Genomic DNA, 15925 nt, shown 5'->3' with positions numbered 1-15925 from the left:
CTGAACCAATGATTCTATTTTTTATTTCATTCATAGCTGGAGTTGAGAAAGAAAAACCATGTAGAGAGACATTGTTTTTATAGGAATTTTTTATAGAATCAAAGATTTCATCTAAACTAATGATCTGCTTCAATTTGGATTTTGGCAACCTTACTAGAAAGTGTGCCTGCTGAACAACAACAAAAAAGTTCTGCTTGGGAATCTATTGATGTTTAGTTTTTCTTTATTCAACAACAGAAATGGGGATGCACATACAATTACCTTTAGAGACATGTCATGCTACAATGTTTTGTAAGCTAATTTTCAACAAGATAGAAACTTAAGTTCTTAATATACCCTGAAACTATTAAGGAGTTCAAGCTTATTAACACGCGGTGAAACTACATTATCCATGTTGATATGTTAGGAGATAATGAAATGATATACTGTTAATTTTAAATCTGTATATCAGTAAGTGGCACATTTCCACAAAGTAAGTTGTAAATTCACATCCTCTAAAAGTAAATGCCTTGAGGTTCGGAAAACCTGAAAATGCATAGCTTGATGTAATTCAACAGAATTTAAAATTTTTGATATTGTAATAATTTAGAAAAAAAGGATTTCATAAACTTAGGAAATCTTATTCAAACCTAAATTTCTTTTATCAGTTTATAAAGTGCATGTTGTTAACATTTAAAATGAGTAAGCGGTAAATGTTGTAACTTCCCAAGAAACAGAATGGAAGGTCTTCTTTAGCCCAACCATGTTTTTATAATCTCTAAAATATCTAAACCAATTTTTTTTACAATTACATCATGGTAATTAAAGTGAAAATGCTTAGAAGTTATATGCCACATGTAAACATTAAGTAACAGCTTTCCTATAACAACCCAACTTTAGCATAATACTTAGATAAAATAAAAAATACAGGGATTTTTAGTATCCTTTTATTTTTTTTAAAGCACAAATGCCCACACAACTTTGACTTACAAGGTAGTTCTATATAGAATAAATTAAAATGTTAGTAAAATCTGTATTAAAAACTATGTACAATTAAATGTGGTTTACAGGGTACATAATTATGCTTCTCACATCAATTATAGTTGAGGACAATTATAGTTGAGGTTATCTAAAAGAAAGTGTAATACGGACATGACCATTCATAAGTAAAAGGCTGGAAGTCTCCCTGGAGTTTATGCAGATGATTTTTACTTGTTATTGCACAGTGTGAATTGGTAGGGGAAAAAATAATACACTAACCCTTGGGTCCCATACAGGCAAATTAAGATTGCATTCTTCAGGCTGTTTCAATAGCACTGGATTTGGCCATTCCCTGTTTAAAAAGATTGTAGCACTTGATAAGACTATTGGATATTACCATCTAAACGTATTTTGTTAAACATACAGCATTTGTGAACGTGATCCTTCTTCATTCTGCCTTCTTGGTACATACAACGTTTTAATCCTTTCTGACGACATTAGACTACTCAAAATCTTTTTCTCCTAACTATGAAATGAACTTAAACCATTTGGTAGCCTTCTCAGACTGAAACCAAAAACGTTCTCTGCCACTCAAAGAACTTTAAAGGACTATTTAAATAAAGAAGTACCATCCCAAGATAATGATGTGTCCACTTCAACCTTGAACAGAATAAATCTCCACTGAAAGACAAAATTCCTGCCTTTATACTAGTTCCATCCAAAGTCAAGTGATAATTTTAAAAGTTACTTCTGATCACAGGCAAAGGGGTATGAATAATTATAGAATTCATGACTTAAAAGTGGTAAGACAAGTGTAGTAGTAAAACTTGGTGGCATAACCACATTTTCATATGTGTTCCATAAACTAGCTACTTTGGTCCCATATGAAAGAGGTAAAAACTGGAGAACACCTGCCACTCTTAACATCAAGGTTAGCTTCTTAAAAACATTATTTGCTTATATATGTGTAGCATTAAAAGAAATTCTGACAGCCGGACGCGGTGGCTCACGCCTGTAATCCCAGCACTATGGGAGGCCGAGGCGGGCGGATTATGAGGTCAGGAGATCGAGACCATCCTGGCTAACACAGTGAAACCTCGTCTCTACTAAAAATACAAAAATTAGCCAGGCGTGGTGGCAGGCGCTTGTAGTCCCAGCTACTCAGGAGACTAAGGCAGGAGAATAGCATGAATCCAGGAGGCAGAGCTTGCAGTGAGCCAAGATCGTGCCACTGCACTCCAGCCTGGGTGACAGAGTGAGACTCCGTCTCAAACAAAAAAAAAAAAAAAAAAAAAAGAAATTCTGACATTCTTTAATCTTATCACACCTGATTATAAGTGCTACTAAATCCCAAAACAGCCAGAATGTGTACTGAAAAGTGTGGCATGGTTCTAAATTTTTTTTATTTTTCCTCCAGTTGAACACAGCTCTAAATTGTCTCAAATAACTAATTTTTATAAAATTACTAGAAAAGAACATCTCTTTTGCAGAGGGAGGAGCAGGAGTTCATAAGAACAGGAATGGACGATTTATCTTAATTTGATTAAAAACCAAGAACCCTCACCTTTTGGGCCAAGGCAATTAATATAAAATGGCAGTAATCTTTTATTCTACTTTTTCTTAAATCATAGTTGACATATGTGGAAATGAAACGAAGAAACTTAAAAAAATCTGGGTTAATGACTAATCTCAAATTCCTTTTTTGTCCCGAAGCACTTAATGTTAATTTATTCTTTAAAAGCTTCTTATGAAAATTCGTATCTTTAATATTAGGCCAAATAAATGCTGAAAGCAAAAAGAAAAAAAAAACAATCACAAGAAACTAATGGCCTATAGATAGAGAATTAAAAGAGTGAAAGAGGTAGTGTGTACAAGTTTTATCCAAAAGTATAGTAACTGATTTCCCAACCTATCAATAAATTGGATCTTAGCTGCTAAAATTCAGAGTTTATTCAGAGGGTAAGTTTATGCAAGGAAGTACAAATAGAATCTGCCTTACTATCCTGGCCAAACTAGGGAAAAAAAATAGTTTCAGTTTGCCATTTTATACACAATGTGATCTCCAAGGCTGCCTACATGACTACATCATGAACTAAAATTTGAATCTGAAACCAAGCTGAGAAATGTCATAGAAATAAGACTAAACTTCAGTGTCTACAATCAATTTTATTTTAATATAATCTAAACACATACCATTTAGAAAATACCAAGAAAAATTTATGTACAAGAGTTGATGCTATTGCATTTGGATAAAGCTGGCAAGTTCTTGCTACTAGCATAGCCCAGGAAACACCACCGAGGAAACCTAATATATTGGAATAGATGTTGTGGCCTGTTGATAAGGGAAAAGCAAAAAGATAAGTTAGTGTTGAACAAAAGTTTGAACATTTTTAATAAGCTAGCCAACAAATTCTGAACTCACGTTTGGCCCATAGTTTGATAGCTCTCAGAGTTAACCTGAAGTTGTCAATGTTTGGTACTAGATGTAAAATTTCATCGGTTACCCTGCAACCTAATTAATAGGGGTAAAAAAAAACACACACACACACACACACACAAAACAAAACAAAACAAAAAAAAACAACATTAAATCATCAAAAGTTTAATGGTAATGCTTCCAAATTTTCTGAGATTGAAGTTAAAAGTAAACATAAATTTTTATTTGGTAGAACCAGTAAAGCTAATTCAATAAAGAGGGGGAAAAAATCTAAAGCATTTATCTCCTATTGTAAGCACTGACCAAAGAAACCAAAGTAAACTGTAACCTGCCCCAATTTGAACTTCAGATTCACAATTAAAACTTCCCACATATACTGCGGAAGACTTAATCCACTAAAGTTTCCAAGAACTGCTCTTCAAGAGCACAGTAACAAGCTATGCTAATATAAAATTGTACCAAAGTAGTCCTTCTGATCTCAGCAATGCTGAAAGCATTACTAAAGAATAACAGGATCAAAATTAATTTGGGTTAGGCCATGAAACCTAAATCACTAGCAACAGAGTACAAAAGTCAGATGGTCTTTTTAAGTGTCCTGAGTATACCATTAATGACAGAAGAAATACAGTGTATAAAATACTGTAGAGTGAAATAAACTACTACATACTCTTCTGTAGTTTATTAGGCAAAGTTCATTTTATTTAACTCACTACTGTGTTAACAATATAGCTATAAAAAGCTTCAATACAAAACTTGTGTAAAAACAACTAATATCTGACAAAAACTGAAGTACACAAAAGGAAGTAGGCTTTCTCATACCGTTAAGACTTCTTATACATCTTATATCTAAATTTTTTAGCAGACTGTCATCTCGTAGATCCAAATCTTCAGGAATTGTCTGCAGTGCTAATCTTGCAAACAAAATATCAATCTGAAACACAAACAAAACAACATTCCATATCTGTCAAACTACTTTTAAGGCATTTCTATGAAAAAACAAACAAACAAAAAATCCCAGCACTCTGGGAGGCTGAGGCAGGTGGAACACTTGAGCAAGACCAGCCTGGGCAACATGGCGAAACCCTGTCTCTATAAAAAAAATACAGGTCTGGCACAGTGGCTCGCACCTGTAATCCCAGCACTTTGGGAGGCCTGGGCAGGCGGATCACGAGGTCAGGAGATCGAGACCATCCTGGCTAACACGGTGAACCCCGTCTCTATTAAAAATACAAAAAAATTAGCCGGGCATGGTGGTGGGCACCTGTAGTCCCAGTTACTGGGGAGGCTGAGGCAGGAGAATGGTGTGAACCCAGGAGGCAGAACTGCAGTGAGCCGAGACCGCACCACTGCACTACAGCCTGGGTGACAGAGCAACACTCCGTCTCAAAAACAAAAACTACAAAAAAATTAGCCAGGTGTAGTGGCACACACCTGTGGTCTCAGCTATGGACCTCCCATGCACCTGTGGGAGGCTGAGGCAGAAAAATCATTTGAGCCTGGAAGGCGGAGGTTGCGGTAAGTCAAAACCATGCCACCGCACTCCAGCCTGGGTGACAGGAGTAAAACCCTGACTCAAAACAGCAAAACAAAAACCTAATTTTCCTTAAAGCCAGGATCCTTTCATTATCTATGAACACGACAATGTCCCTCCAAAAGTCCAAACTATATTATTTCGTATCATAGGTATTTTAATTAGATAATTTTAAAACATGGCAATATAGGCTGGGGGTAGTGGCTCCCGCCGGTAGTCCCAGCACTTTGGGAGCCAAGGCAGGAAGACTGCTTGAGGCTGTCTTCGAGATCAGCCTGGACAACATAGTGAGACTCCATCTCTACAAAAAAAATTAAAAATTAGCCAGGCATGGTGACAAGCGCCTGTAGTCCCACCTACTTGGGGGGGCTGAGGTAGGAGGATCCCTTGAGCCCAGGAGGTTGAGGCTACAGTGAACTGTGATTGCAACACTGCCTCTAGCCTGGGTAAAGTAAGACCCTGCCTCAGAAAAAAAAAAAAGAAAAAAAAAAACAAACAAACATGGCAATATTTTTAAAACAGAAATGGAAATGTACAAATACCTGGTTGTCAGTTTAATCACAATTATCAAGTTTGATGTATTAAGTTTGTTAAATGCATCTACTGGATATAGTAAGTCTAGTAAATACATATGCTGAATTAAAGTTAACTGTTTAGCTCTTCATCTATATGAATTATAAATTGATTACATACTAAAAAGTACCCAAATTTAGGCAAATAGCCTTATATTCAGCCAAAAATACCTCTCAATAAGGGGAGATCTCATTATACATGAGAACTTAATAGTACTCAAATATAAGGCAAACATCCTTACATTTAGCCAAAAATAATTCTCAATAAAGAGATTCCATTATATCTGAGAACTTTTATGTCTGTAATACTACAGTATGTTTTTCCAACTGAGTTTTAAGTAAAACAAAAACACTGGGGAAAGTACAGCCTAAAACAACCACAGTTAAGGCTAATTTTGAAGACATAGAATTCCGCTGACAAAATTGTTTCTTTTCTAAAGGAAAGGTGAGAGTGCAAAGAAACAGCACAGCTTTGGTAGTTATCCCTGAGGGTATGATTTCATGGTTCCAAAAATGTGGATGTCGCTGTAAACAAGCCTTTTATAAGATCACTTTTTTTTTGTTTGTTTGTTTTTTTGTTTTAGACAGAGTCTTGCTCTGTCGCCCAGGCTGGAGTGCAGTGGCAGGATCTTGGATCACTGCAACCTCCACTTCCCGGGTTCAAGTGATTCTCCTGCCTCAGTCTCCTAAGTAGCTGGGACTACAGGCACACGCCACCATGCCTGGCTAATTTTTTCTATTTTTAGTACAGACAGGGTTTCAACGTGTTGGCCAGGACGGTCTTGATCTCCTGACCTCGTGATCCACCTACCTTGGCCTCCCAAAGTGCTGGGATTACAGGCATGAGCCACCGTGCCTGGCTACTAGATCACTTTTTAAAAAGCAGTATTTTAGGAGCACATTTTAAAATATCATTTAAACATACCTACAGAAAAAAAATTGTACTGTTACACAAATAAGTACTTGTGGTCTAGGATAAACTGTTCAATGAAAAAGAACAGATTTCAAAGTCTCCCCCAATTTGGACAGAAATAAAGATTATAGGCTCATAAAACTAGGTAACTGAAAAAGCAACTCAGTAATAATACTGACACATTTTTTAAAGGATGGAATTACTTCAAAAAATATTGAAATGTGAAAATGATTACTAAATTTCCTAAAATATTATGTTCCTAAAATATTATTTTTTAATATAGCATGTATAATAGAAAATTAACACATTAAATGTTTTAAGTAGCCATCTAACTTTCCATCTTGATCCTGTAAAGTTTACAAAGTTAGGTCAGGTCTCCTTCCAAAAAAAAGTCCTCTTTGTCAGTAATATTCTTTTTAGGAAAATGAGGCCTCAACTTATACTTTATATTACAGATTATTTTTACGTTTACTTAAAACACTGACAGTAAATCAAAACTACATGAACTTGATAATCCTTTACCAAATTTAACATTTTATGTCTACTTATTAAGGTCAGTCACTTGACTTTTCATAAAATACAGAGTTGAGCGTCTTATGCAGCAACCTTAGATGCAGCCATTTTTTTGCAAAATAGTACAACAGTGAATTATCTTTTTTATTTTTTAAAGAGATTAAGTCTCGCTACATTGCCAGGCTAGATTTAAGCTCCTGGGCTCAAGAGATCCTCCTGTAGCAGCTTCCTGATAGGTGCACATCACTGTGCCCAGCTTCAATAAATTATTTCTCTTACAGTTTCCAAAATGTTACAATCTTCACTTTATTATCTGTGACTTTCCAGTACCATTCTGTACAGCAAAAGTAATGAATTACTAAAGTTGCTTCACTGTCAACTTTATTCTCATCACTTTAATTACACACACCGAAAGCAGCAAGGAGAAATGAACATCATCTCAAGAATTTGAGTCCATAAATCCTCCCCTATCGGAAGATATTTCAGCACTCACACTTTTCTCCCAATTTTTAAATGAAGTCAAAGCAAAGCATTACTTGCAAAAACACATTATGCTACTGCCTTAATGAGACTAAAAGCACACAAAACTGGCATATGGAAAAGCTACCAAAAAAACTTTTTTGTAATAGCATTTCAATCTTAAGGTTTCATTACTTCTGTTTTAGCTCCAAATTTCACTTGGTATTTTTAAAAAGATTTAAAATGGTATATTCTACAAGAATAGGCAGTCACTTCCATTTAAAAGCCTTAATTGTTATTAATATCACAACCAACTCACTAATTATAAACTTTAAACCAAGTTTTTAACCTATATCAATCAAAATTAGTGACAGCACATAGCAAGAACTGTCAATTTGAACTATACCTTACCTCTATCCCATCAAAACAGAGTTTAATAACTGGTACGAATGCCTCTTCAACAGCCTATAAGGAAAGTAAACAAGTTCAGGGTCTCTGAAACTACATTTTAAGCCTCTACTAGTTTTAGTACTTTAGCAAAACACCTGACACAAAAATAGCTAGCTTTAAGACTGGGCTGTTCGATCAGACAGATCAGAAATCAAGGTTCAAATATTTTACTTCACCCACTCATCAGATGTATGATTGTGGCCAGATTATTTCATATTTATTTTGTTTGCCTCAATTTCCTAATCTGTAAATGAGTTTATAATTTTAGGCTTGCTGTAAAGAATAAAACACAAACACATATGCCAAGTGTTTAGAAAGGTTTGGCAAATTGCAAGAACTCAATAAATGATGGCTATATCATAAAATTCACTCAACTGACTAAATGAATGTTCATAACTCATCCCATTTCACCCCGAACATTTACGCACTCTTAAATCTTTTACTTCTTCCTGTAATTTCAACTTATCATAGAATGAGGTGAAAAAGTCACTTCGATCAACATGTCTTGGTGCAACACACAACGCATCAATATCAGCACCTAAAAAAAATTAAGCCCATCAACCACTAATTAATATTACAAGAAAATTATTTTGCATCCTATCATGGTAGTATTTGATGTTGAGAATCTGTTTAACATACTGGTGAGCTTCTAAAAATGTTCCACCCCTTACTTAAAATTACCAGTCAATGGAGGACAAACATGATTTTAATTGATGTGGTATATTTTGATCCTGCAGCATCCTCTATTTATAGTGGCCCAAGTAAACTGGGAGCCCAAAGAAAGATGGCTCAGCAAGTACTTTCATGGTGGAGAGGGAATTATTCAAACATACACCCAACATCTTGATGTCATTAGTCATAGCCATGTTCATTGGTAAAACAAAAATAGTTTTCCTCTATGTACTACGTATTTGGTGCTTATAGGTTCTCTACCAGGCCCCTAAATGGGACCTACAAAATAAACTTCAAGCAGAAGAATCCAAAGAAGTAGACAATGGTAAAATATTTGTCATTAATTCAGTGCTTGATAAGAGGCCAGCACTAAGTACATAGGCAGAATTTTAAAAAGGAGAATTAAAATCAATTGGGGTCATAAAAGGGAGAGATTAATGTGGAATCAGGTCAACAGTCATTTTCCTAAAAGACAAGATGCTGAGGTATGACTCTGAAAGCTATTTATTAGAACAGGAAGAACGGTGTACAGCACACAGGATATATCAAAAGTAATGTACTAATGGGACAGAGTGATGGGAGATGGAGAGAGGAAAGGATACTAGAAAACAGACAACACTATCTCGGCAGATACAGTTCATGGTTAAAGAATACAGCCTCAGCTGGGCGTGGTGGCTCATGCCTGTAATCCCAGCACTCTGGGAGGCCGAGGCAAGTGGATGGCTTGAGCCCAGGAGTTCGAGACCAGCTGGACAACACGGGAAAACCCTGTCTCTACCAAAATAAAATTAAAAAATTAGCCAGGCATGGTGGCGTGTGCCTGTAGTCCCAGCTACTCAGGTGGCTGAGGCCTGAAAATCAATTGAGCCCAGGAGGTGGAAGGTGCAGTAAGCCAAGACTGTGCCACTGCATCCAGCCTGTGCAACAGAGCAAGACCCAAAGACAGTACAGCCTCGGGATGCCTGAGTTGTACCTACTCTGCCACTAGAAGGTTGAGAAAAACTGTTCAAGCTTTATTGCCTCTTTTAGTCTCAGGCTCCTGTTTGTTATGTGAGAATAACAGTACTGGAAGAACTAAATAAGATAATGAAGATCTCAGTACTCAGTGAAAGAAAAGAAGCTCAATAAATGTTCTTTGCCGAGGTAACATTTTTATTGTGTATTTATTTGCATAGAGGAAATAACTACAAGTATAAACTATTAACTGATTATCATTGGCTATGAATACACATTTTTGGGGTTTGCTTTTGCTTAGCTATATTTTATAATTTGTCTATAAAGGTATTAGCGGGGGGCATCCATGAGTTTTCTTAAAAGCTAGAATTCATTTTTGTTCTATTTCCAGAGTGATATTCTTCTGGTGAGGGAAAATGATATATATGTAGATAGCAGCACTGTACAAAAGAGCTCTCCAACAGAAAAACTACTCTGTATCTGTACTTTCCAATGCAGTAACGACTAGCCATATGTGGCTACTGAACAGATAAAATGTGGCTACCTCTACTGAAACTCTGAGTTTTTAATTTATTTATTTACTTTTTCTTGAGACGGGGTCTTGTTCTGTCACCCAGGCTGAAGTGTAGCAATGCAATCACAGCTCACTGCAGCCTTGACCTCCCTGGGCTCAAGCAATCCACCTGCCTCGGCCTCCCAAAGTTCTAGGATTACAGATATGAGTCACCACACTAAGCTAATTTCATTTAATCTTAATAATACTTTTGGACAGTGGCGATATAGAAGTCAGCATTATTTTACATCTTTCTTACTGAAAAATTTAGACTCCTCAAAGCACTCTCTCTTCCATGCAAGCCTAAGCTATATGATACACAAGTAACTGAGACGGGTATGTCATAATTTTTAAGAACTAAAGGGTCCCTTTCTAAGAAAAATGAAATAATACTTACCTTTTGTATGCACTCCTAATCTGTAAGATCCAAATGTAAAAATTTTTCCTCCAACATTTTCAATTACAGATTGTGGAAGATTCTGTTGAAACAAAAAATGGTTATTTTGCCAGTGGAGCACAAGGGAAACTATTCAAATGATACTATACTGGGGTGAGGGAGTGGATCCAAGAAAGATTACAGTGTAAATTTATATAAAGGGTATTCAAAGTCTATAAAAGTTCTTAAAAAATACCAGCCCCTCAGATCAATCATATTTGAAATTCAAACCATTTTCAACTTTTAAAGAGGTTTATTCTTTATTGTTAGATTCTTGCCCTATTTCTAGAAACTACTATAAAGAAGACTGTGATTGAGAAGATCATGTAATCCCACAGGAGCACGTTAGAATCGGGGACTTTATTCATGACAAAGATGCTGTATATAAAATGAATCACCAATTTAGAGTATAATAAAAACATATTCTGATTGCTTTAAAGAAAAAGATTATATTCAACGATTTTTACCAAATATCCCACAACATATTAGAGTATTTTTTTTATCATATCAAAAGTGACTTGAAAGCCAATAGTAGCCACACACAGTGGCTCACGCCTATAATCCCAACACTTTGGGAGGGTGAGACGGGCCAATTGCTTGAGCCCAGATTGAGACCAGCTTCGGCAACATGTGAAACCCCGTCTCTACAAAAAATGTTTTAAAAATTAGCTGGGCATGGTGGCATGCACATATAGTCCCAGCTAATCAGGTGGCTAAGGTGGGAGGATTGCTTGAGTCCTACAGGTCAAGGCTACGTGAGCCATGATCACGCCACTGCACTCTAGCCTGGGCGACAGTCAGACCCTGTCTCAAAAAAAGAGAAGGGGAAGGGGAAGAGGGGAAGAAGGGAAGGGGAAGGGGAACGGGAAGGGGAAAGGGACAGCAGAGCAGAGAAGAAAAAGCCAATATTGGTAAATAATTGCTTAGTTTTTTAGATTTCCAAAAGGCTTTAGTGAAGTAATTTAGAAACAACTAAATTTTCTTTTCTTACTCAGAAAGAGTAGCATCATCAGGAAGAGGGAGAAAGCATTCAAAAACTGCCTTCCTGGCCCTGGCACTAGTGTAAAGTCCCAAGCTTTACGGTTTAGTATTCAATGGCCCTGCTCGTAAGAATGACAAGGTCTGTCCAAACAAAAACAATTTTATGAAGTGTTTAGTCAATATTTCCTTTTACCTAACTCCTCAGTATAATAAAATATCTATTCAGTACCAAAACATGTAAAAGACCACCCCCCTTCCTCTCAAAAAAAAGAAAAAGGACATAAAATGAAGTGTTATTTCATACTCCAAAAAAACCCTAAAGCCAAGTTCTAAACAGTCAGAGACTCCTGTTTTTTAAGAGCATATTTAACCATCACTATAGACACTAATAGACAAGTTATGTGTGTAATTTTTTTTTTTTTTTTTCTGAGACAGAGTCTCGCTCTGTCACCCAGGCTGCAGTGCAACGGGCGCAATCTCGGCTTACTGCAACCTCTGCCTCCTCGGTTCAAGCCATTATCCTGCCTCAGCCTCCTGAGTAGCTGGGATTACAGGCGCGCACTACCACGCCCAGCTAATTTTTGTATTTTTAGTAGAGACAGGGTTTCACCATGTTAGTCAGGCTTGTCTCGAACTCTTGACCTCGTGATAAGCCCACCTTGGCCTCCCAAAGTGTTGGATTACAGGCGTAAGCCACTGCGCCTGGCTGTAATGTTGTATTTCTTAAAAGTAAGCAAAGCCTTTGTCTTCCTATGTTTAGATATTTTAAAACCTCAATGGCAACGCTGACCTGGTTATTTAAAATTAGCCAGCAAGACGTGTGCACAAGTAGCCTACAAAGGAGGTGAAGGAGAAACTATCTTAAAACACTGGTCCACAGACTTCTCTATTAAGACATAACAATCTTTTGAAGAATACTCTCCAATGGTACTTTCTGCAAGGATGTAAATATTCTGTCACTGTTATCACTTTTGTTGAGCACCTGAAATGTTGCTAGTGTAGTCAAGAATCTGAATGTTTAATTTTAATTTTTATTTAAATACCTGGCTGGTGACTAGTGACTAGTATATTATAAACTACATTTTTAGATATTAGTATGTTTATACTTATTATCATCATTGTAACCCAGAAATTAAGATTTCTTAATTCAGGTCATGGAAAAACATTTTCACTTGCAAAATCTTTTTTTCATTTTTAAGTGAAGAGTATTAGATGTCAAACAAACCAAAAAAAAAATCTTATTTTCTATCAGAAACTAAAATCAGTAAGAAACACATGGTACGTAAAGTCCATAATTTAGAATACTACATTTGCTGAAGTTTAATTTGTATTTTGAAATATACATATACACTGCATAAGTAAACAGTACTATAAATTTCATTAAAACCAAAAGACTACAACTTTTAAGTTGACACCCTGTCTCCCTGCTCTATGAAATTTTTCCTTTACCCTTGGTTCTCTTTTCAACCTTTCAGTTATATTATAGATTAAACACGGATTTTGTACTACCCTGGAAAAATTACCACTATTTATGTTATTTTTTTAAATGGGTCAAATGAACTCCACACACAACTCTACAAATACATTTTCTCTACCAGAAGAAGCCCAGCCATGTATTTATGAGTTGTATGTATGAGTATTCATAATGAAGTGTTAGAAACTCAAAGGGGCTGGGGCAGTGGCTCACCCCTGTAATCCTGGCACTTTGGGAAGCCAAGGCAAGCAGATATCTTAAGCCCAGGAGTTCGAGACTAGCCTAGGCAACATGGTGAAAAGCCATCGCTACAAAAAATTAGCCAGGCTTGGTGGTGCCCACCTATATAGTCCCAGCTACTCAGGAGGCTGGGGTGGGAGGATTGCCTGAGCCCGGGAGGTGGAGGATACAGTTAGCTAAGATCATGCCACTGCACTCCAGTCTGGGCAAGAGGGAGACCCTGTCTCAAAAAAAAAAAGAGGACAGAACAGTACCTCACGCCTGTAATCCCAGCACTTTGAAAGGCCGAGGTGGGCAGATCACTTGAGACCAAAAGTTTGAGACCAGCTGGTCAACGTGGCAAAAGCCCATCTCTACTAAAATACAAAATTAGCTGGGTATGGTGGCACACACCTGTAATCCCAGCTACTTGAGGGGCTGAGGCAGGAGAATCAGTTGGCCGCAGGAGGCACAGGTTGCAGCGAACCAAGATGGTGCCACTGTACTTCAGCCTGGGCAACTGAGCAAGACTGTCTCAAAAAAAAAAAAAAAAAAAAAAAAAGAAAGAAAGAAAGAGGCTAGATGCAGTGGCTCATGCCTATAATCCCAAGCACTTTGGGAGGCCAAGGAAGGTGGATCACTTGAGGTCAGGAGCTCAAGACCAGCGTGGCCAACATGGAGAAACCCCATCTCTACTAAAAATAAAAACAATAGTTGGGCATGGTGGCGCCCGCCTGCAATTCCAGCTACTCAGGAGGCTGAGGCATGAGAATCACTTGAACCCGGGAGGTGGTGGTTGCAGTGGCACCACTGCACTCTAGCCTGGGTGACAGAGTGAGACTCTGTCTCAATAAAGAAAGAAAAAAGGAAACCCAAAGAATGTTATTACAGAAAACTAAATAGGCCGGGCAGCGGCTCACGCCTGGAACACTAGCACTTTGGGAGGCCAAGATGAGAGGACTGCTTGAGGCTAGGAGTTTGAGATCAGTCTGGGCAACACAGCAAGACTCCACATATACCATTAGCCAGGTGTGAAGGGACATGCCTATAGTCCTAGCTACTTGGGAGGCTGAGGCCAGGAGGACTGCTTGAACTCAGGAATTTCAGGTTACAGTGCACTATAATGGTGTCACTACACTCCGCCTGAATGACAGAGCGAGACCCTGTCTCAAAAAAAATAAATAAAAAATAAATAAATAAATAAATATTCAGTTTGAATAATACCTGAAAATCTTTTTTAAAAACTAACTGTGGCAGAATTTCTTAAAAGGTAAGAAGAGTCTCAAATATGTTTAAAGCACCTTTTTAGAGAAACATCCATTATTTCTGTGAAGAGTGTAAGTACTTTACAATTACTGAGTTTCAGTTTTCAAATGTTCCAAACAAAGAGTACTATACTTATTTTTAAAAATCGCTTAACTCAGTTCAGTTTTTCCTGCTTCCAAATTAACTAGAAAAATAATGTAAAATCTGTTATCAATAGTCTAAAATTGACTCCACATTAAAGACTCCAAATCCACTCAAATAAGAACAGGTTATATAAGACACTTGCTGTGTTCAGTTGGCTATATATGAAATTATTTCATATACAAAAAAGTTGCCTTACCTTGCTTTCACTGATTTCTCGTATCCACTCTTTTACCAGGTTATTTAGTTTTCCCAAAATTAAAATCCTGTTGATAAAACAATTATCAATCAAGTATTCCAGATCATTACTGATTAAATTTCTTAAAGTTTTAAATAGGCGTTCTTCCTAAATTATGAGTTTTTAAGCAATCAGAAGCACAGTATATTGTAGTTAGTGCACGCTCGCTCGCTCTCTCTCTCGCTTTCTCTCTCTCTCTCTTTCTATATATATATACAGGCACTGTTACACTGAGTAAGGCATTCCTTTTTCTCCAGACAATTCAGTACTATAATAACCAAAAGCATAAAAAATCAAAATTAATTCTTCAGAAAAAAAAATAAATAACATCAAAATTAAGGGAAGAGAACTCTATGTAGAAAATAAAAGTTTTCAGCCAGGTACGGTGGCTCACGCCTGTAATCCCAACACTTTGGGAGACCAAGGCTCAGGAGTTCGAGACCAGCCTGCCCAACATGGTGAAACCCCACCTCTACTAAAAATACAAAAAATTAGCCGGGCGTGGTGGCGGGTACCTATAATCCCAGCTACTCGAGAGGCTGAGGCAGGAGAATCGCTTGAACCCAGGAGGCGGAGGCTGTGGTGAGCCAAGATCACACCATTGCACTCCAGCCTGGGTAACGAGCAAGACTCCGTCTCAAAAACAAAAAGTTTTCTCTCTTAAGTATCCCTCTTCTCCAAAACAGATATATAGATCTGGGCAAATAACCCTGGTCTTCTAAGTAAGTAGAGAATGCCTCAAAATTAGTTTATGTCAACATTAATAAAAGTTTCCGAGTTAAAAAAATATAGAATATCTATTTACCTGCGCTGCAGTTCCTCTTCCTCTTCAAAAACCCCAAAGGGTTTCAATGTCTCAATTAGTTTCTGTGTAAGTACGCAGTCAGTCTCCTTGGGGGCTGCTAAGCTGATAGGAGAAGTAATGCCATAGTGCTTCTGTGGCGGTTGTGTTTGTTGTGATCCCTGTGTTGTAACTGGACTATAAACAAAATTGGATACAATTACTGCCAAAAGAATTCTACAATTTGAAACAAATCAGTAAGACCAGAAAAACTAATTTAGTAACACACATTTCTAAACATGATTGGTTCCCTGCAATACCCCCAAAATTTTTGACAAAAAGTGACCAAAAGCAAGTGACCAAAGAGAAAATCCT

The 15925-nt window shown here is 37.1% G+C and overlaps 1 protein-coding gene across 10 annotated transcripts in view; it reads right to left on the bottom strand.

Annotated features, from left to right (window-relative positions):
• PAPOLA (poly(A) polymerase alpha) overlaps window positions 1-15925 on the bottom strand; it is a 64741-nt gene that overhangs the window by 31314 nt on the left and 17502 nt on the right. For 7 of the 10 annotated variants that reach the window (NM_001293627.1, NM_032632.5, NM_001363662.3 and 4 more), the window contains exons 2-10: window positions 15575-15748; window positions 14731-14797; window positions 10412-10493; window positions 8264-8373; window positions 7797-7850; window positions 4217-4328; window positions 3383-3472; window positions 3154-3292; window positions 1240-1312 (exon numbers count right to left, since the gene is read on the bottom strand). In NM_001293627.1, coding sequence (NP_001280556.1) covers window positions 1240-1312; window positions 3154-3292; window positions 3383-3472; window positions 4217-4328; window positions 7797-7850; window positions 8264-8373; window positions 10412-10493; window positions 14731-14797; window positions 15575-15748 — 901 coding nt within the window. Of the gene's footprint in view, window positions 1-205; window positions 4329-7796; window positions 7851-8263; window positions 8374-10411; window positions 10494-14730; window positions 14798-15574; window positions 15749-15925 lie in introns of those variants that run through there. The other 3 variants (NM_001252006.1, NM_001293632.3, NM_001252007.1) reach the window with 3 other exon arrangements.

This window comes from Homo sapiens, chromosome 14 (genome assembly GCF_000001405.40).
Source record: "Homo sapiens chromosome 14, GRCh38.p14 Primary Assembly".
Taxonomy (NCBI): domain Eukaryota; kingdom Metazoa; phylum Chordata; class Mammalia; order Primates; family Hominidae; genus Homo; species Homo sapiens.
This window is presented reverse-complemented; position numbering and strand designations above follow the sequence as displayed.